This window comes from Homo sapiens, chromosome 11, assembly GCF_000001405.40.
Source record: "Homo sapiens chromosome 11, GRCh38.p14 Primary Assembly".
Taxonomy (NCBI): domain Eukaryota; kingdom Metazoa; phylum Chordata; class Mammalia; order Primates; family Hominidae; genus Homo; species Homo sapiens.
This window is the reverse complement of record NC_000011.10, coordinates 122,798,645-122,820,585: the sequence shown is the minus strand read 5'-3', so window position 1 is coordinate 122,820,585 and position 21,941 is coordinate 122,798,645. Positions and strand designations below refer to the sequence as shown.

General features: G+C 41.7%; 1 protein-coding gene across 4 annotated transcripts in view, besides 4 other annotated features; it reads right to left on the bottom strand.

Moving 5' to 3' along the window:
• Positions 1–6,112: 6,112 nt before the first annotated feature.
• The window catches only part of UBASH3B (ubiquitin associated and SH3 domain containing B), a 158,752-nt gene continuing 142,923 nt past the window's right edge, over positions 6,113–21,941 (bottom strand). For all 4 annotated transcript variants that reach the window (NM_001363365.2, NM_032873.5, XM_005271712.4 and 1 more), the window contains exons 10-14: positions 21,552–21,644; positions 19,254–19,398; positions 14,070–14,176; positions 12,410–12,519; positions 6,113–10,837 (exon numbers count right to left, since the gene is read on the bottom strand). In NM_001363365.2, the coding sequence (NP_001350294.1) occupies positions 10,700–10,837; positions 12,410–12,519; positions 14,070–14,176; positions 19,254–19,398; positions 21,552–21,644 (593 nt within the window). In that variant the 3' untranslated portion in view covers positions 6,113–10,699. The remainder of the gene's footprint in view (positions 10,838–12,409; positions 12,520–14,069; positions 14,177–19,253; positions 19,399–21,551; positions 21,645–21,941) is intronic.
• Positions 6,778–7,385: an enhancer, noted in NCBI's record as "OCT4-NANOG hESC enhancer chr11:122683909-122684516 (GRCh37/hg19 assembly coordinates)". NCBI's record gives its function as "activates a minimal SCP1, AML or CMV promoter by ChIP-STARR-seq in primed H9 embryonic stem cells {active_cell/tissue: H9 hESC(primed)}" and the evidence as "EXISTENCE:reporter gene assay evidence [ECO:0000049][PMID:30033119]".
• Positions 7,386–7,994: an enhancer, noted in NCBI's record as "OCT4-NANOG hESC enhancer chr11:122683300-122683908 (GRCh37/hg19 assembly coordinates)". NCBI's record gives its function as "activates a minimal SCP1, AML or CMV promoter by ChIP-STARR-seq in naive H9 embryonic stem cells {active_cell/tissue: H9 hESC(naive)}" and the evidence as "EXISTENCE:reporter gene assay evidence [ECO:0000049][PMID:30033119]".
• Positions 15,252–15,770: an enhancer, noted in NCBI's record as "NANOG-H3K27ac hESC enhancer chr11:122675524-122676042 (GRCh37/hg19 assembly coordinates)". NCBI's record gives its function as "activates a minimal SCP1, AML or CMV promoter by ChIP-STARR-seq in primed H9 embryonic stem cells {active_cell/tissue: H9 hESC(primed)}" and the evidence as "EXISTENCE:reporter gene assay evidence [ECO:0000049][PMID:30033119]".
• Positions 16,574–17,316: an enhancer, noted in NCBI's record as "H3K27ac-H3K4me1 hESC enhancer chr11:122673978-122674720 (GRCh37/hg19 assembly coordinates)". NCBI's record gives its function as "activates a minimal SCP1, AML or CMV promoter by ChIP-STARR-seq in primed H9 embryonic stem cells {active_cell/tissue: H9 hESC(primed)}" and the evidence as "EXISTENCE:reporter gene assay evidence [ECO:0000049][PMID:30033119]".

Here is a 21,941-nt window from a genome sequence, read left to right as displayed (position 1 = left end):
AACTTTGATTTCTTAAAGCAGTCTGTTTGTATATGGAAGTATGCCATTACAGTCAAAACCTTGGTAAAATAATCAGTGTCTCCAGCGATGTCCTGTTATAAAAGCAAACATTATTATTACATGTAGGCAAATAACTATACTGCCATAAAGTTAAGAATACTCACAAATAGTTTCCAAATTCCGGAGAAATCAGGTAGAGAGAAAGAAATATGCTCCAAGGTTTTCTCACAGAGTATACTTTATTCAATTGATAAAAGCTGTAGTTAGCTCAAAAGAAAAAAAATTTTTCTTGACTCTAAAAACAAAACATAAAGAATCAGTAAATGTTTTAAACAAAAAATCATAAGAGATAATTTCAGTCTTCTATTAGTTCAGTCCATGCATTAACTCCTGTTCTGCTTGATACTGAATTAGCAAACCTCAAGAATATATTAGCTCTCCATGAAAGTACTGAAAATTTGTTTTTTCCCCCTCTATTCCAAGGACCATGGGAGCCAAGAAGCATCACAAGGGAAAATCATCTCCTTTTGTTTCATAAAACCATAGGCAAAAGCCTGTCAGTTTTGCAAGATGATGCCCAACAGACTGCCTGGGGAACAAATGAACATTTTCCATCCCAGCCAAAGCAAAATACATATAACAAAATAGACACTAGTCACCTTTCTCAGCACCTGATATTGACCTGGCAAGGCTCAAATTTGCCCCTGTTCATCCCTGTCATCTTTGATCCACTCAAGGTGGGGAGAGATGACCTTCAACTGCGAATTCAGTGGGTGATCTGTGGGCAAGATGAAGAGCAGATGGTCACCCTGTGTCAGACCTGTGGAGCTTCTGCTAACAATTGCTTCAGGGTTTACCTAATGTGACCAAATAAGGAGAGTTCTCCAAGTTAGGCCTGCTTGACTTCCATTAGCATTTTTTTCAGAGATCACCTCCACATATACAAACACAGACACAACAAACACAAGACAGACAGAAGACCTTCTAAACAAAGATCCCTAACCAATAATTCTAAGTATTCTTTCCAAACTAACCACCTACTCTCTTCCTGAGAAATCTCCCCAAAATCTTCCTGATTAAGGAAAAATCTCCTGAACCAAGACTCTTCCTACTATTTAGGGAGATTCAGCCAAGCCCCTTAAAGGAGCTGAACCAAGACCCCAGAAGAAGCCAAACCAATCAGGAGAAGAAAGGAGGTGCTGGAAGCACCTAGAATATGCACCAAATCAGACACCCCATGATAGGACCACAGACAGACATCTAATGATGGGGTTACAGTTATAGGACTTTTTCTCCATTGCAATGAAATCCATGCACCATGGATTGTCAATGCCCTGCCAGTAGAAACAGTGCCAGAGACAGCCTCCAGTCCAAGAGAATTAGGCAGCCTCTTGGGCTGGCCTCTAGATCCATTGCTGGAGAGGGGGCTACCAAACCACAAGCAGTAGTCACAAGGGTGATCCTGGATGAGCCCTCAAATTTGGAACTGCCCAATGTGTTCTTCCTGCCCACTGCACAAATAAAAACCATGGCATTGCAGTAAGGAAAAAGTTTAATTGATGTGAGGCCAGCCATGCCACATGGGGAGACAAAGTTATTACTAAAATCAATCTCCCCCAAAATTTTGGAATTGGAGTTTTAAAGGATAATTTGGTGTGTAGAGAATCAGAAAGCAGGGAGTGTTGATTGGTCAGGTAGAAGATGAAATCATAGGGGTTTGAAGCTGTCCTCTTGTGCTGTCAGTTCCTGGGTGGATGACACAAAATCAGATGACCCAGTTTATCAATTTGGGTGGCATCAGCTGGTGTATCAATCAATGCAGGGTCTGCAAAATATCTCAAACACTGATCTCAGATTTTACAGCAATGACTCCTAAGCCATAATTTCTAATCCTGTGGCTAATTTTTTAGTCCTACAAAGGCAGTATAGTCCCCTGACAAGAAGGGGGTTTGTTTTTGGAGAAGGCTGTTATTGTCTTTGTTTCAAAGTTAAACTATAAACTAAGTTCCCCCCAAGTTAGTTTGGCCTACACCTAGAAATGAACAAGGACAGCTTAGAGGTTAGAAGCCAGACAAAATTGGTTAGGTCAGATCTCTTTCACTGTAATAATTTGCTCAGTCATAATTTTTGCAAAGATGGACAACTTTTGTTTTCCTGTTTTGTCTTACTGACTGTTCTTTCTTTTTGATTCTCCATTTATCAGGGGCATGTAGGTTATCCCAGATTTCTTTGCTGCAGGCAGCCAAACAAAAAGTTGAGCGCCTCAAGAATATGGGTGAACTAAAATGTGGGTTTACATCCATTTGTGGCTAGCTAAGCTTTCCTTTCCTTGGTTGTCCTGTGAGAGTGGTCTGGATCTTGGAAAGGCCACCTTGGTTAAAGCCATAAAGGGGCTTATTAGTTGAGTCTTGAGTCACTTGTTGAATATACCTTTGGATTAAAATTTTGGTTTATATTCAGAGCATGTTAAAAACATTTTTTTTTTGTTTTATTGGTTTGCTTTCTGCCTTCTCATTTGAGCTAAAAAGGTACTTTGTACTCAAAAGAGAAATTTGATTATTAATTACCCTGAACCTCTAAAAACTTTCAGTATTTCTCTGTACCTGTCAATTCTCTCCCTTGTCTTACCTAAGAAACCATCCCTCTTAAAATGCAAACTTCAGGGAAAGAAAAGCCAGGAAATGAGAATGTTTGCTGTTTGCCCAAAACTGCTAATGATATACTTAAAAGATTTTTAAAAAGAGCATTATTCTCAGAAGTCAGCTTAATTAAAAGGTGATATTCAGACTATATATATTTTTAAGGCTTTTCTCCTCTTGTTGGGATCTTATTTCTCCCATGAGAACTTCTTAGTCAGCCAAATTATCCCACATTCCCCACCTTTTTTGTTGTTTGTTTGTTTGTTTGTTTTAGGCAGAGTCTTGGTCTGTCACCCAGGCTGGAGTGCAGTGGCTCCATCTCAGCTCATTGCAACCTCTGCCTCCCAGGTCCAAACAATTCTCCTGCCTAAGCCTCCCAAGTAGCTGGGATTACAGGCATGCACCACCACACCTGGCTAATTTTTGTATTTTTAGTAGAGACAGGGTTTCGCCATATTGGCCAGGCTGGTCTCGAACTCTTGACCTCAGCTGATCTGCCTGCCTTGGCCTCCCAAAGTGTTGGCATTACAGTCATGAGCCACTGTGCCTGGCCTTTTTTTTTTTTCTTTTTCCTTTTTGCTAACTAGAACGTCATTGGCCTTTTTGGAAAACTTCCAGACTGGCTCCTCTAAAACTTGTTTTACCAGTTATCATTTCTGTCTTTCCTTCCTTTTACCACTTTTGATCTTTCACCCAGTTCCCTTGTTACGTTCCCTTGGTACATTCCCTTCACGCCCCTACCTCTTTACATAGCCAGAACCAAGCCAATTGGGCTTTACATGTTTATTTCTGGCACAGTGAAGTATTTTCTTTCTTCAGGAAGAAGATTGTTTTTGGTCCTCAAACAACTTTCAAATAAACCCTCCAAAACAAAAAAACCAAAAACAGACACTTTGCTGATTTAAGCTTAAACAAATCCCAAGTACACTATTCGTTTTCTCTGGATGTGCAAGCAGCCTTTACGTACATCACAAAAGAGCAGAATGAGTTTGGGAATCTGTCAAGCAGAGAATGGCTGAGAACCAGCCAGAAGGCTAAATATAGCCTGGTCTTTTGTCAGATATGAACATTAGCTGTTATGTTTCCTCAGGAAGTAAACCCTGCCAAGGTAGTAGACAGTTGGGTTAATGAAAATCTGTATTCATGTCCTCGGTACAAATTTGCATTCAAGGCTTATTTTAAGATCTTATTAGCCTAACATATAATTACTTCAAAAAAATAGAGTCAGCTGGGTGCGGTGGCTCACGCCTGTAATCCCAGCACTTTGGGAGGCCAAAGCGGGTGGATCACCTGAGGTCAGGAGTTCGAGACCAGCCTGGCCAACATAGTGAAACTCCGTCTCTACTAAAAATACAAAAAAAATCAGCTGGGAGTGGTGGCAGGTGCCTGTAATCCCAGCTACTTGGGAGGCTGAGGCAGGAGAATCACTTGAACCCGGGAGGCAGAGGTTGCAGTGAGCCGAGATCACAACATTGCACTCCAGCCTGGGCAACAAGAGTGAAATTCCATCTTAAAAACAAAAACATAAAAACAACAACAACAACAAAAAATGGTCTATGGCTTTTAGAAGTGCAGATTCTAGTTTGAGCTGAATGTGCCCTCTCTCTTACCCAAATTCTCACTCTCTGGATCATTCTTGGTGCAACTCCTTGAGGTAGATGGTGGGTAGTAGTAAACCATGAAGGTGACATGGAGTTCAGGGCACTATACCCGAAAATATTGCATCTCAGCCTATTGAATAGTTTAAGATGAAGGAATCTGAGAAAAAAACAGGAGCAGAAAGGTCACTTTGACTGTTCTCCCCCGCCCCACCCTTCTCCCCTGAATCAGGTGATAAAACCTAGGAAGGACTCTAACCTTTCCTGACGCAGGTCCTGAGAACTTCATGTGAAAGGTGCCTTCCCTAGAGCGGGAGAAAATGAGCACCCTCATCTCTGAAGACAGAGGGACACCCAGGGGAATCTGAACACACAGGCCTCATTAAGTCCTCCCAGTTTATTACCATTAGATCATACTCTTAGTTCTATCACGTTTCTCCATGACTATCTATTCTTCATCAAATTTTGCATTGAAATATTCAGGTTTAACTAGTTTTCTTCAAATCTTCATTTCCTTATGAAGGCTTTTGTGTCATGTGAAGGAAAACAGGGAGCTTCACCCCCAAATATGGCTCCCTGGTATAATGAGTATTTTGGGTTTTTGTTTGTTTGAGTCTCGCTTTGTTGCCCAGGCTGGAGTACTGTCATGGCTCACTGTCAGCTAGACATTCTGGGCTCAAGCGATCCTCCCACCTCAGCCTCCTGACCAGCTGGGACCACAAGTGCACACCACCACACCTGGCTAATTTTTGTATTTTTTTGTAGTGACAGGGTCTTGCTATGTTGCCTAGGCTGGTCTCAAACTCCTAGGCTCAAGCAATTCTCCGGCTCTGATCTCCAAGAATACTGGGATTACAGGTGTGAGCCACCACACCCAGCTGAGTATTTTGAATTAAAGGCCCTTAGAGATCAACAGATGCTAAAAGAAGCCTTTCCCCTATCTACATAAAGACTGGACAGGCCCACCAAGGAGAACAATTGCTTTTCCTTCCTCTATCCCCTCTCAGTCCTCTACCTGTCCCAAAGCACAGGATGAGGTTATTCTCATATCTACCAAAGAAGGAAACAATTACTTCTGGTCCCTTCTCGGAGTTTCCATTGACTGAACTCACATCACAGGATGGAAGACTAAAGTCTGACAACAAACCTGGACAGACTTTTGTCCCAAATGACTGTCCACTCTGTAGGCCTGACCGACTTTGTCCCAGACCATTGTATGTTCTTCAAGTCCATTGAATTTCCTTAAAAATCATTTACTATCTGCCTAAAATCACCCACACCTCCCCATTCTCTTTCCCCTAAGATGTAGGGCATATAAGCATCTGTACCCCGTTGGGAGACTGGGCACTCACTCTGTGATACTCTACAAGCTCACGTAGTTAATAAATTTATTTATGCTTTTTCTATTAATCTGCCTCTTGTCAGTCATTTTCAGTGAACCTTTAGAGGGCAGAGGGAAAGCTTTCCCTTGGCCCCAAGACATGAAAAACTTGTATGCTTTTTCTTTTGTTAATCTATGTTTTGTTATAGGGGCCTCAGCCATGAACCTAGGATAGGTAGAAGGAAATATATTTTTTGTCTCCTAGTTTGCACATAGGGCAGGGGAAGCATTTTGAAGCTTGCTATTTTCACACAGAGTGGGTGTTCAGCTCCCCAGTCTGAATGGCATGGAGGCTTGATGCCTGGTCAGAAGGGTCCAGAGACACACAGTGCTGCTGGAGCATCCTCCCCTTCCATCAGCAGAAAGCGCCCTCTGGCCTTTTGAAAACAGAATCACACTCTGAATGCACATTTATGAAATAATAATGAACAAAGTAACATCTGAAAACATGATAGGAAGAGACCACTCAGAATTTAAAATGACATTGCTCTGGATCAACTGAGAAGTTTCTTTTTATTAAATCATCTATGAACCATTTAATGGAGATGCTCCTGAAAGGTGCATCTGTAATTACAATGGTGCCATAGCTGTATCAACAGGGGAGAGCTCTCAGCCAGGAAAGCACAAGTGCCACGGAGAGTTTACAAAGAATTTGGCAATACAGGTAGGTGTGGTTTTCCTATAACTACAAATAGTCTTCAAATAAATACACCTGAATCACATACAAAAAAAAATACAATAGCCTTATAAATGAGAAAGAAACCAATACACCTCTCCAAAATAACAGGTTTAGAATGATCTGTGTATAACCAAAATGCCTTGGCATGGTGTTTCCATCTTGAGTGGCAATCAAAGAAAGAAGCAGTACATATTTTCCATTATACACATCTATCCTGTACAGAGTCCATGATAGTTGAACAGCTGGAAAATTCCAATTTGTTGTGTAATGGCAGCTAAGTGTAAAGTATTTGCAAGAACTGATTGTATATTAAGTTCGACTAGTCATCACTATAATTTTAAACCTACATACACCAATCCTACTATTATTTGTACTTAAAAATGAAGTTATTTCATCTGCATTTACAATCTTTTTCCCTTTTCGCTTGAATTTTCATTATAGCTAGTCACTTTCCTAGGGAAATTCAATATGTTGAAGTATTAAAGAGAAGCAAATCCAATTTTAATTCTATGTTTAAAAATGAAAAGCTTCTGCTATCACCTAACAAAATATCCCCCATCACCTTTGTAAAGTGAACATTAACCTAAATAGATGTTAAATCGCTCTTTACCCCACCCTCCTCTGCCTGTCTCATCTCTCCCCGCAATGCAGCCTTTTAGACTAGTGCCTCTTCTTTCTCACACGTGTGCTGGATTGCAATTTAAATGCAAATAACCCTGCACCTCATTATCTAAGTTCGTGCAGACTCAGTAACAGTTGCCTGTGCTGAAGGCTGTGAAATCAAACGGAGGTTCATCTGTATTCTAACACATGGATTACTTAGAGTAATTTCAAAAGAGCAATTCATCACTGCTTTGAAATTAAACACTGGACTTGCAGAGTGCCTAGGTTACGGAGGAATGCCTTTCTTTTACCACATAGGGAAGCCTTTCCACAAAGGCAATGAGATAGGAACTTCTTTTACTGTAGCTGTTCAATTAGTTCCCAACAACACTAGGTAATTGAAATAAGAGACTTCATTTTAATACGAATACAGCTAGTTGAGTGGAAAAGACACACTTATGGTAATGTTAAGCACAATGACAAGACAATCTATATGCATTCCAAATACCACTAACAAGGAAATTATCAACAATGATTTACCAAACAGACATCACTCCAGAAGGCATATTTTTTATTTTTTATTTTTTGCAAAATCATCTTTTAAATATAAGGTTACTTTAAAATAATTCTTTGGTTAAAGTATAATTAAAATAAAAAGTAGAAACTCCTCCAAGCCTTTCACTACAGAGTGAAAAATACGCCCCTCTTTCAGCCATCAGATGGCCATTTAATCAGCCATTCAGATTCTATGAATCTAAATGTAATGGAAAACACTGTAATCTGAACTCCATACTGGGGTGAAGCAATAAGCTCCTAGCTACCAATGCAGTGATGGTGAAGAGAGCCTGGGAAAATGAAACCCCCAGCTTATGCATTAAAATGTGCCAATTACTCTGGTCCATGGAGGAACAGACGCGGTATTTTAAAATCACAGGAAACAAAGTTCTGTCTGTGAATAACACTGGGGCATTACCGGATTGATGTGGCACACTTGTAGAAGCAGGAAATGCTTTCAGGCTTTCAATCCCAGATTAAAACCTTTAGTTAATTTCATTTCACCTAGTTTATTTCAAATAACTTTCTACATTAAAACAAAATTCCTCTGTACAAGAAACCATTTGCTTCTTATCTGTCAATTCCTTCCTTGCCCTTCCTTCTCCTCTCCCCATACATCATTTGTTTTAATAAGCATCAGCTTCAGATCAAAAAGAACCAGCTGCAACTTCAGGTTATATATATTAGCCTATACTTTTTGGATGTATATGAAATTGAGTAATATAGTTGTCTCTTTCTTTTATTATACATAGATGCCACATGATTTACAAATAATTTCTCAGTTGCAGTGCAAGTTTAGTTTTTTAAATAGGTAAGTGTGCAAGGGGAACTTAATGTGAATTCAGATCTTTTGGGCCATTTTGACAAGCAATTTGAAATAATGAAATTGAAATGAAAGCAGAGAAATACAATCTTTCTTGTTTTCCACCTGAATTATTCGGAAAATTATTTCAGATCTCTATCTCCTTTTGCTTATATAGACCATTGCCTAAGGCAGTGTCCATATTGGACTAAGAACAATGGATTGTAGCCCAGTCAGACAGATTTATCAGTTCGTCATACAACTAAGATAACCTAGAAGATGGAGTGGATAACCTATTCCAGACTCTATTTCATACATTACAGATACTGCCCAGAACACACTGCTACAGTTTCAAGGTGAGGTGTTCAAGCATTATTCTGAGCACTCAACGCCCATGAAAATTTGTGGTGAATCTGTTAAAGATTATGGATCTGATTAAACAGTGGATTCACTTCATTACAAATACCAGAAGAATGAATGGTAGAGCCATTACATTACTTGTAATGTGACTTTTCTCTTAAGACCTTTATTGGGAATATTCCCTCCCAACATTTTATATTAACACATCATCACAGGGTTATTTCCATACCCAGAAGCTGGGTCAGTGTTTGCGCAACGCTAGAAGAAACCATGATTGATTTGTTTCTCAAAATGTAAAATACATGACATATTTTTCTAAGTGACCTAAAAAAAATACAACTATGGGCCAGGTGTGGTGGCTCACACCTGTAATCCTAGCACTTTGGGAGACAGGGGCAGGAGGATCGCTTGAGCCCAGGAGTTCAAGACCAGTCTAAGCATTATAGTGAGACCCTGTCTCTAAAAACAAAACAAAACAACTATAATCCTTTTGCTCATTAACATATATAGCCAGCATCCTTTCATGTCCTCTTCTTTCTAGGGGTTATCAAGTTGTAGTTTCAAACGCAAGCATAGATGTATTTTTATATACCTTACGTTTTATGCATCTGAGTTTTGAAACATAGTCAATGTTACTGCAACATGTAAAGATCCATTTTACACTAACTAATGTCTCTTTAAAGGGCTGGCATTTCACTTTGCATACATCTTCTACAGAGTGAACTATACCATAGGAGACCATCATCTGTGGCCATCAACAGTCAGATAGTCACACAATTAAACAGACATTGATAACTGATGATTTGGTTTGATTGTCATTTATTTCTTTTAAATAAACTCCCTCTAAATGCAGGAAGTAAGTATAATGAGAAACCACAGAATGTGGCTCTCCAAATTTCCTCAGTAGCCCTACCTATGTATTTTAAATTATCATAGAAAAACAAACAAAACGACAGCACAAGTAGCAGTGCAGCCATGACTGTCATCATTTATATTAGTTCCCTGACTTACTATACATCCCTGGTATAATTGATGCATTTGTGGATGTTCCATTATGGTTGACACGTACTGTAAGTGTACAACAACCTGACCCTTGGTATGGTTTGCAAACATGTCCATATTGCACAGAATGAACTTCTTGCTGCAAATAATATATCTAACATACATCCTTTCAAAATGTAACATCCTTAACTAGTTAACATAGTCTAGAGTCTAGGGGCAAAGACAAGCAAATATTGATGATTTAGAAATGCAGTAGCACGTTAGGCTACAACATGGTTAATTCCAAGTCACTTCATATTTTGCAAGTTCTTTGCTCCTATGATTGAATACTTCAAACATGTATCTTATCTTTCCTCCTGAGTATCCAAAAGTGCTTTGGAGAGCAAAAGTGCTTTGTCTCCCCATTTCACAGAAGCAAGGAGGGGGGATAGGGCTGTAGCAAGAAGGGCCAGCTGCTCTAGAGAAAATGTGGCAGTACCAGGGTAAATGTTAGCATCCTTAAGCGGGTATCTTCAGCCAGCAACACTGGTGTATGGGGGCTAGTGACGGTAGGATTTCATGTGTAACCTAAGAACAACTCTCTTCAGGGCATGTTTTCTAATAATCTTAAAAGGATTCCTCAGCTTGGCTCTACCTAACTGGAAAATGGAGATAAAAAAAAAAAAATTCCATCCCCAAGCTGTCCTTTCAATGCTCCCCCAGCTGGTCTGGGCACACTCCTTCCTCTTGCACCCCTTAGAGCGGGCCAGCAGCTCCCTCTGGGAGAAATGAGGCCCCTTAGCTGTGCATACCCAGAGGGAACGAAACATTCTCTTCTGTAGCAGGTGCCCCGATTTAGGAAGACAATTCTCCAAAGCCTTGTGAGCTAGGCAAGAGTCCAGAGAGAACACATTTTTTTCCTCTGAATCAAGTCTTTCTCTCATTTACACAGTCTCATCTTAAGAACTTTAAGTGTGAAAGGAAATATGCTAAATTATTCTGAGCTGTCCACTTAGAGTGTGGTGTGGATTTTCCCACTGTTTTTAAACACACAGAAAGACACACTCCAAAAGGCCTTTCCTTCTTGTTCACTGGTGTGGTTTATTCTTGAAGCAAGGTCTCTCTCCAGTTGAAGCCCCCAGTTGGTCCATGGGTAAGAGGAAGGATTGGTGGATCTGTCAGCTGCCATATTCCAGTTTCTCCTAATTCTTCACAGGAACAAAATCCCAGATATGGGATCTGAAGTAAGAGTCGTAAAGAAAGGGGATATTAGGAGATAGGTTTAATGCTTTAACTTTTACCTAAATACAAAGATATTCATGTGGCCCTAGAGAATTGCAGTCAGAAATGGATAGTGGCTTTGTAGAAATGCATTCCCTTCAAAAATCGATAAATAAAATAAAATGGGTAAAACTGGTAACTTAGAAGAGTATTTACATTGCAAGAGGATTCATCAGAAGGATCCATTAAATGGTGACCTCCCCTAAAGTAATTAAGTCATTGTTCATAGATTGCTGCTTAATTGGGTGGCAGAAAAAGAGGACCAAAATACATAAGGCTACAATGCCAGGAGTTAATTCCCAATTGCAAGTCCAGGTAAAAAGGCAGCTCAAGGCCGGGCACAGTGGCTCACGCCTGTAATCCCAGTACTTTGGGAGGCCGAGGCGGGCGGGTCACTTGAGGTCAAGAGTTCGAGACCAGCCTGGCCAACATGGCAAACCTCATCTATACTAAAAATACAAAAAATTAGCTGGGCGTGGTGGCATGTGCCTGTAATCCCAGCTACGTGGGAGGCTGAATCAGGAGAATCGCTTGAATCCAGGAGGCAGAGGTTAAAGTGAACCGAGATTACGCCACTGTGCTCTAGCCTGGGTGACAGAGCAAGGCTCTGTCTCAAAAAAAAAAGAAAAAAGAAAAGAAAAAGTCAGCTCAAACATTTCTGAAATTATACTTGGACCCAATGGAAAATATTTTTCAATTTGAAAAAATTTGTTTCACCCGTTTTTTTTTTCTCCTTACGAGTCTCTGCAACATTCAAAGCTGAAGCTGTGCTCTCCCTCACTTCAGTTGTCACAGCAATTTTAAAACTTATTTTTGTCTGTGTCCAGAGCTGCATTTACAAACAAGACAAAATTCTCTGTCTTCCAGCACTTACAAATGAGGACAGATGCATAAATAAACTTTTCAAAAATGTGAAAAAAGATTGCAATTGAGTTTGAACCAGGTTCTCTGGCGGCAGAGAAAGGAAGTATGTAATTTGCCTGAAGGGAAGTGTGTGGGAGGCAGCTGACCAGAAAACCTCTCCCACAGGCACAGAAAGGAAGACTCCAGATGTGTGGGTCAGCCTCATGGGTTTTCTGTCTTGCTGTCTTGTTCCTGGCTTTGCCTTTTAGCCTCCTCATTTGAAACTGCTGCATGCCTCGGCCTACCTTCAAGGACCTGTGTTTGAGTTAAGCTTTCAGATGCTGTCTTTTGGACTGACCTCTATTGATCCAACCCAAGTTCCCTCAGGGAAATTCAGAGAAGGTCCCTCAGGGAAATCCAGACAATTTGCTTATAATTCCTAGCTGCTTCCTACATTTTAGCTCTTAGAAGCTAGAACTAGCTCTCATACATTGTTTTTCTAACACAAGGCTTAATAAAGTGCCCTGCACAGAGTATCACTCAATACATCTTGGTTGAGTGAAGCAATAAATGAATATTCCCAGCTCAGCATAAACACATGCTTCAAAGAACTTGGTAATCAGCCAGTCACTGTACTGACTTCAAACTACTAGCCATCACGGACCCCAAAGTACGAGAATGAATTACCTTTCGGACCATTTGTACGAAGTCCTTGGAGTTCTGAGGTGACAGGCCCTGAAGTTGGCAGGTACACGCTTCAAGGGAAGATGCGTGGGCCACAATCAGGATGTTATTTCCTGGGGGAAAATGGCAAGGTATGGGAAGACTGTTTCTATAAAGACATGGAAACTTTGCAAATACTGGAAGCTAACTAAATGCTCTGCAGGGGAGCAAACACACTCAAGAAGACAATTTGCCTAAGCAATATTTTGAAAGTGCTTTGTTACTGATAAGGCAGCTTAATCTTTTTAAAGAAAACATTTATCTTAAAATAGTTACAGATTTATGGGGCCGGGTGTGGTGGCTCATCCCTGTAATCCCAGTAATTTTGAGAGAACGAGGAGGGAGGACCACTTGAGTTCAGGAGTTTGAGACCAGCCTGAGCAACATAGTGAGACCCTGTCCCTATAGAAAATTTTTAAAAAATTAGCTGGGTGTGGTGGCCTGTGCCTGCAGTCCCAGCTACTTGGGAGGCTGATGTGGGAGGATCACTTGAGCCCAGGAGATTGAGGCTATAGTGAGCCATGATTGCATCACTGCGCTCCAGCCTGAGTGTCAGGAGCAAGACCCTGTCTCAAAAATAATAATAATAATTATGGATTTATGGGAGGGTTACATACATATACATACATACCGACAAGATCCCATGAACCCTTCATCCCATCCCCCTCCAATGGTAACATCTTACATAACTATGGTACAGTATCAAACCCAGGAAATGGACGCTGGTACAATACACACAGCGTATTCAGATTTTAGCAGGTGTGCAAGAAGTCGTTTGTGCATATGTGACGATACAGTTCATGCAATTCTATCATATGTGTAGCTTTTTGTAACACCATGACAATCAAGATACAGGACTGTTGTGTGTCCATAGGGCTGTCTGTGCAACTCCTTCTAACATAGTTTTAAGTGTTCCCACTATAGAACTATGAGCACTTGAGACTTCCTGGTTGATAGAACATGTTGTGTACCTTTATGGTAGTGAGTGGCTAATCAATGAAAACTGGAAGGTGGGAATCATTCATAATACTGTTGCTCATGGCTGCCTACTGTTTGAATATAAGTATTTTAACTTAAAAAAAGAGATGAAGGGAATGTCCATACTTTTTTTGCAATATGCCTTTTTCACTAAAAAATTGATAGTGAACAGTCTTACATATTAAATATTTGAGCTCAGTGTTTAGAAAATTCAATAGCAAACACACTTGAGCCTTATACAACACTGCTCTTGGTTGGTGATAGCAGGGAAGGTGTATGTGTTTGTGTAGGTGTGCTGTGTGTAGGTGTGCATGCCGCTGCATCAATTATAGGCAAAACAGTGGCATGCTAGAGCTTTTGGAAATTATAAGAGGGAATCTCTTTCACAGGGTGCAAGAAGAATAGCTATAACGCAGAATTTAAGTTATTAAGAATAGTAACTAAGTCTGGTATAAACCCCTGGAATATCTACCATTTTAGGAACTCAGAGAATATTACAAATTTAATGTAAAAGTATCTGGAAGAAAATCTGGAAATACATTTCTTTGGTTAGCCAAAGCAAGTTGAAACATCTTGAATAACCTATTAACCATTATAGAGAAATAATCACGTATGTACAGATGGAGTTCAGAATAATACCACTTACCTTTACTTTTACATTCACTTATTATTTCTTTTGTTACTTGGAAACTTCTACTGATATAAGTATCATAGGATTCTGAAACAACTAATTTGCTGATTGGAATGTGAGGTCTGTAATAGAAAAATGAACAAAGGAAATGAAAACATTTTGATCTTGAGACAAAGGAAGATATCACTCTAAACTTTTATTTCAAGGCATTTCTAAAGATCCCGTAGATCTGTTTGTTTATCCATTTCCCTAGAAAGGAGAAAGGTATAGGGAACAGCATTTCTACTATATGAACATGGAGTGGAAATGTACAGAAATAACAGCTATGTGTATGGCGTTACAGTGACCAGGTGAAAAATGAGACATTCAGTGCATGTTTCACTCTCGGGATAACAAATAAGCCATTGATGGATGGTCCTAGTCACATAGCTAATACAAAACAAAGCAGAGATGGAACCCTCAACCTATTTAGATCAGCAGGGATTTCCCAGACCTCTCTTCAAGAGCAGCAAGGATGGGTTTTAAACGCAGATATTAGGTCCATCTGATTCTTTGCGAGTTTATCAAATTTCACCAGTCTTTTCCTTTAATTCTCTCTTATTTTGAACACAGACCATACACTTGGCACAAGGAGAAGTGCAAAGCATAAAGATGAAGACCACTCAATTTCTGTGTTGGAAAAGTTCTCTGCCTGTGGTTGGGGTGAAGAGGTTATTGATGTAAATGATAATTACTATACAATCTACAAAGGCATGTGATACTGTGTGTCCCTCACCGGCCTGGGGGCCTGGCTGTGCCCCCCACCCAAATCTCATCCTGAATTTCCACATGTTGTGGGAGGGACTTGGTGGGAGATAATTGAATCATGGGGGCAGGTCTTTCCTGTGCTGTTCTCGTGATAGTGAATAAGTCTCACAAGATCTGATGGTTTATTTTTTAAAATTTTTATTTATTTATTTTTTGTTATTTGTTTTTTGTTGTTGTTGTTGTTTTATTTTTGAGATTGAGTTTCACTCTTGTTGCCCAGGCCGGAGTGCAATGGCTCGATCTCGACTCACTGCAACCTCCGCCTCCTGAGTTCAAGCAATTCTCCTGCCTCAGCCTCCCAAGTAGCTGGGATTAGAGGCATGCGCCACCACACCCGGCTAATTTTGTATTGTTTTTAGTAGAGACAGGGTTTCACCATGTTGGCCAGGCTGGTCTTGAACTCCTGACCTCAGATGATCCGCCCACCTCGGCCTCCCAAAGTGCTGGGATTACAGGCATGAGCCACTGCACCCAGCCAATCTGACCGTTTTAAAAAGGGGAGTTCCCTGCACAAGCTCTCTCTTTGCCTGCTGCAATCCATGTTAAGACGTGACTTGCTTCTCCTTGCCTTCCGCCATGATTGTGAGGCTTCCCCAGTCACATGTAACTATAAGTCCAGTTAAACCTCTTTCTTTTGTAAATTGCCCAGTCCCAGGTATGTCTTTGTCAGCAGCGTGAAAACGAACTAACACAGCATGGAAGAGGATGATCAAAGCTAGGCTTCCTGTCCCGGTGCCCCTGCATGTCTTCAAACCCAGTCACCAATGCCCTTGGGGCCTGCCTCTGCCTGCCTCCACCCCCGCTTAACTATGTAGAGTTTCTATGTTGTTTCTGGTCCACAAGATGTTTATCTTGTTTTCTGGGTACAACTATGTCATTTCAATTTTCTTATTTTGTCAATTTTCATATTTTGTCTTTCACTGCTGGGTGTTTAGTGCCTGGTGGAGGTGTGGTAAGTTCTCAAAATGAATTCACATGGCCTCTTGATCAGAAGTAGGCTATTACCACTACTATTAGCACTGAAAATATTTACTGAGGTTCCCATATGTGTCAGGCTCTGTGCGAGTGTCCTGCTTGCATTTCTTCGGTCTAATCCTCCCAGCAATGCTTTCATAAATGCTGTTTATGGATGACAAAACAGAAGCTCAGAAAGGCTGCAGCTGACTTCCCTATGCTAACACCGTTAGCAACTCTTAGAATCTGGATTTGAATCTGAGTCTGGAGTCTGGCCTGTGAGCCGATCCTCTACACACAGCTTCTGACAGTGCCCTTGCTAAGCCTGGCCTTCTGTGCACACCGGCTTACTGTCCAGGGGAAGGATGCCGTTCCACTTGAAGGAAACTTGCCCATATCCTGCATTCTCTCAGCATGCCTGTTTCTCCTAGGAAACAGCCTTCTGAGTCTCACAACACCCTGGGGGATAGGTAGAGACCTGAATCACCACTTGTTGGGGCTGTACCTCATTGTTCTGGAGCAAGCTTTCTCCTCTTTTTCTGTCCCCATCCCCACCTCTCACCCAGTTCCATCACCATTTATGTCACCTCATCTCCCAGGCCCATCCCCTGCCCACAGTGACAAAAGTCCACTTTGTATGGCCCAGGGAGTCATTTCAAGTGTGAGACCATGTAATGTGTGAGATTTATGTAGGTGAAGAGCGGGATACATGCTGGGATCTGGTTCGTCCTGATCAGTTCTTGCCTATGGCTTCTCCCAGCACCTTAAAGTGGAGCCTGTGAATGACTCCAGTGTCTGGAGTCCTGATGGGCTTGGCCTGAGTCAAAGCTTCCTCACCCTTGTCAGCAGGTCACGTCATGCTGCTAGCCACACCTGCAGGCCCTGTACTGTCCTCAGAGTCAGGTGGCCTTCCCCCCACCCACTCAACCTGGAATACGGTGCTCTGGAAGTCAGGTGGCATCCCCGAAACTGTATCCTCCCCCATATACTCTCTGCTCCCCACCTTGCTGTGGTCCAGGTTGTAAGCACAGGCCTCTGCTTTGAGCCTCATGCCAAAGTTTGATTTGTTTCCCCTCCAACACTCCAGATCCATACCCTCCCCCAGTCCCCTGTCCTCTGAGTCAGGGCTCTGTTCTGAAGCCCCACCCAGCTGGTGTGGATTTTGTTTTTTCTGCCTTGCTCCTCTGGCCCAGCTCCTCAAGGCTGGGGTTGTTTTCAACCCCCCCAGGCCCTGGGCTGGTCTTGCTGCCTGTGGATGATGCTTCAATATTAGTCACCAGCCTGGTTAGCTTCCCTAACTCGGCTTTCAGTCCCACCTCCCTCCTGTTCTCTTCCTACCCCTGTTGCAAGGTGAGAGGGCTCTTTCAGCAGAGCCTGCCTGATTCACACTACCCCGGCTCTCAGGGCTTCCCTTTCTGCCTGTCACCACATGTCTTCAATCATCTGGGCACCACTTCCTTGCTTCCAAAGGCTTGTCCATTTGGCATCATTAATTTCATAGGGAATTAAACTCCGGGGCTGTCCCTTTCACATGCTTCAACTTTGGCTTTCTCAACTGATTTTTCAAATTAGAGGCTTCATCTCCTACCCCAACTCCCTCGCCAAACAGAAAATGGTTGAATTGAATTCTGATTTGCCGGAGAGGAAAAGGCAATCTGGAATAAGGACTGTGTCCTGATCCCCAGGCTCCTGGCATTCATCCTTCTGCTCACACTGCTGGTGGGGTGTGTATCTGAGTGTACATTGACAGGCTCAGGTAGGACGATTCTGGAGACCTTTGTAAGGCCGCTTGGGAGGCAATGGCAAAACACATCTAGAGGAAATATAAAATACATAGTTGACCTAAATTGGTCTGGGTGGGGCTGGTGGTAAATGGTGAAAGTCACTTAACCAATGTTGGTGGCAACTCCTCCTCTTTCCAGGCCAAAGGGATGCTGGCTGCTGCATGGGGGACAACAATTTATTGCTAATTCCCTGCAAAGAACAGAAAACCAGTGGCCAGAGAGGGGATAGAACAAAATGTGAAGTGTATTCATAGGGGATCCTGTTGATTGATCTAATTTTGTTTTTGAGGAATGCTAATTCCTTTAAGACAAGCAGCAGCAGCAGCACATAACTAGTTAATGGGGTTATCCGAGGTCTTATTTGCTGAACAGAAAAAATGAGTATGGAAAAAGAATATATTGTCTATTACCTTAGCCAGAAATGCACATTGCTTTAATGTGGTTTGGGTAGGTATTTAAAATGAAAGGTCAACAGATATCACATAAGAAAGTTCTGCTTATATTGACCACTTGTTACAAACTCTGCCTTAAGAAATATGAACTTAATTCCCCATTATAATGGTTGTGACTATCTGTTCCTTCTCAAAGAGATTTTTACAAATACCTGAGTAGACTTTTGATAGTTAAGGTAACTATATTATTATTAATTCTTTTTTTTTTTTTTTTTTTTTTTCAGACAGAGTCTCACTCTGTCACCAGGCTGGAGTGCAGTGGCATAATCTTGGCTCACTGCAACCTCCGCCTCCTGGGTTCAAGCGATTCTCCTGCCTCAGCCTCCTTAGTAGCTGGGACTACAGGCGTGTGCCACCACGCCCAGCTAATTTTTGTATTTTTAGTAGAGACGGGGTTTCACCATGTTGGACAGGCTGGTCTTGATCTCCTGACCTCACGATCCACCTGCCTCGGCCTCCCAGAGTGCTGGGATTATAGGCGTGAGCCACCGTGCCCAGCCCTATTATTAATTCTTAATTGTATACATGCAGATTATTCACCTGTAAGCAATCAACAAACACTTTTTAAAATCCCAGCACAGTCGGGTCTAATGGAAAAAGGAAAGGAACAGGAATGAGATGACTGTACAGCAGATTGCATGGTGCTGGACATGTGGAAAATGATGAATAAAGTTTATTATTATTATTGTTATGTGTGGTCACTAAATGTATAAATACCTTTAGGCAAGTTATTTGAACTCTCTCATACATAAAAATGGTTTACCTACATTCTGGGGATATAGCAATAATAAACAAAGATAATACAGAGATTTAAAAATGCTTTGAAAAATTAAACGTAGAAACTGTAAGACAAGACATCATCATCTCCCTTATCGCTCCAATCTTCTCAACTGCATCATCATTAGCTCGTGCTTATTGCTGGAATGCAAAATGGTTTTATTACACTGAAACAGGTATAATAAAGTCAGAAAAATCCAACACGGGGGTGAGGCTGGAGAATCTAATCCACACTAATGCCAAATATGAAAAAAATGCTGGCTTTTCTCCAGTTTTGATTTCTAAAATCATAGCTCGTTTTCCACCACTATGGACAACTGCCTGTAGGTGATGTCCAGCCCTGGCTCCTTCCTGAACCTGGCCTAGTGCTAGTGCAGAAAGCACTTCCACACTGGCCTCAGTAAGCAGCAGTTTCCGAGGCTTACCTGTAGGTTGTATCAACACTCAGGTTGGCTGCAGCTAACTCTGATGGAGGTATCCATGCAGGTAATGTGCTCCCAGCAACCCATTTTGTCCACTCAAATAAGCCGGGCTCTACACGGATCTTCAAGTGATTTTCTTGTTGTAAACCTTAGGGGTAAAATACAGTGAAGATGAAGAAAGTGCCTGTGGATTCTCAGGCCAAGTTGTTATAAAAATTCTGATAAATCAGCTATTCTCTTTCCTACTGGCTGCTATATATAGCTAAACAGAAATGGAAGCATGTGGATTTGGACAAGGTTTTTAATTTTTGTGCATTACTAATACATGAGTTTAATACTCCTGCCGTACCCCCAGGATGTATGCTGGCTTTAAGTCATATCTGACTTCAGGAAAAAAGCCACAGCTCATTATCCATATAATTTATTCGAGGCTGGGTGCGGTAGCTCACACCTGTAATCCCAACACTTTGGGAGGCGGAGGAGGGCAGATTACTTGAGTCCAAGAGTTGAGAACAGCCTGGCCAACATGGTAAAACCCCATCTCTACCAAAAATACAAACATTAACAGGGTGTGGAGGCGTGCACTTGTGGTCCCAGCACTCAGGAGGCTGAGGCAGGAGAATCACTTGAACCCAGGAGGCGAAAGTTGTAGTGAGCCAAGATTGTGCAGCTGCACTCCAGCCTTGGTGACAGAGCGAGATTCTATCTCAAAAAAAGAAAATTTATTCAATTCTGTGACTACCATAATTCCTCTTTCTTTCTTTATTATTATTATTTTTTTTGATACAGAGTCTTGCTCTGTCACCTAGGCTGAAGTGCAGTGGTACAGTCTCGGCTCACTGCAACCTCCGCCTCCTGGGTTCAAGCAATTCTCCTGCCTCAGCCTCCCAAGTAGCTAGGATTACAGGCGCCTGCCACCAAGCCCAGCTCTTGTTTTTTTTTTTTTTTTTTTGTATTTTTAGTAGAGATGGGGTTTCACCGTGTGAGCCAGGATGGTCTCGATCTCCTGACCTCGTGAACCGCCCGCCTCGGCCTCCCAAAGTGCTGGGATTACAGGCGTGAGCCACTGCGCCTGGCCCCCATAATTCCTCTTTCTAAAGCAAATTCCATGATGGCCTTACCAAGAAACTTCAGATAGTCTCTGAGTATCCAACATCGTATTTGAATATCATGTAAATTATTCATTTTCTCTATCAGAAAATCTAATGCTGAACATTTACTAGTAGCGGTGTAGAAGTCCTCTGTTTTACTGTAGTGTAACTGGCTTCCTAGAAATAGTCCCTGCTTAGTTATCTTCATATTGCATGTAGTCCAGTTGTTCTGTGCAAATTTAATACATAAATCCCTTCTGGTAGTGAAGAGGTTTACTTAAGGTTAAAGGATAGAAGACTCAGATGCAGTGTCAAATTCTTTGTTGGCTTGTTTATTTCTGGCTCATTCATTTCTTGGTAGAAGTAAACAGTCTAATCCTGTTGCTTTTAGTTTTCCTTCCCATGAAATGAGAATGGAGATACCTGTAACTCACGCTTCCACAGATTTTAGGGTGAAAGTTGAGTATCTTGGTAGCAATGGTGCTTTTAAAGTCTTTCTAATTAAGTAAAGAAAAAAATGATGATTAAGATTTGAGGCTCCTAAGAGCACCCTTGCTGCTGTCAACAGGAGGCAAACAACAGACCAAAACAGGAAAGTTATTTGACTATTAAGTGTAAAGAAAGGATCACACTCTGTAAGTTCTAAACATTTTGCAAGCCTAGGATTCATCCAAGAGCACTTTAAATTCTCAAGGAAAACATTAGTATACTTCCTTTTATTTTGCTTAGGCTGCCAGAGTATTTTTTTTTTTTTTTTGAGATGGAGTTTCACTTTTGTTGCCCAGGCTGGAGTGCAATGGCGCAATCTTGGCTCACCACAACCTCCGCCTCCCGGGTTCAAGCAATTCTCCTGCCTCAGCCTCCCGAGCAGCTGAGATTACAGGCATGCAGCACTACACCTGGCTAATTTTGTATTTTTACTAGAGACGGGGTTTCTCCATGTTGAGGCTGGTCTCGAACTCCTGACCTCAGGTGATCTGCCTGCCTCAGCCTCCCAAAGTGCTGGGATTACAGGCATGAGCCACCGTGCCCGGCCCAGAGTATGTTTTTGTGACTTGTGCAAAGATCGCCTTCTGAAAGAATCCTTGCTTCATTCCAGATTCAAAGCTTTCAACTGGCAAATGTCCCATGGCTCTAAGATAATTTATGTGTGGGGCTGCCTAGAAAGAGAGGGATGGACTACTTGTTTTTGTCAACCTGCAAGTCTTACCTTTCAAGATATTGTGTGCAGTCTGAACGCAGCGAAGGGACGGGGAGCAATAGACATGATCGATAATGGTATTGCTCTCTAATAAGGCTTCACCTGCAAAGAAAACCACAAAAAAATCAGTCTGATGGATTTACTCAGTCTCACCTTGACCCGCAGTGTGAGAGGGGGCCAAGCAGTAAGCTCCTGTAAACCCCTCTTTCCTAACTGGGGCTCACATAGAGCCAGTAGTTTCAGCCTTTGTTAGTTTCTAACAAAACCCCTCATCGGCGTTCCTATGAGAGCAAGCGACAGAGCCCTTCTTGTCTTGTCTTTTTTTTTTTTTTTTGAGATGGAGTCTCGCTCTGTCGCCAGGCTGGAGTGCAGTGGTGTGATCTCGGCTCACTGCAACCT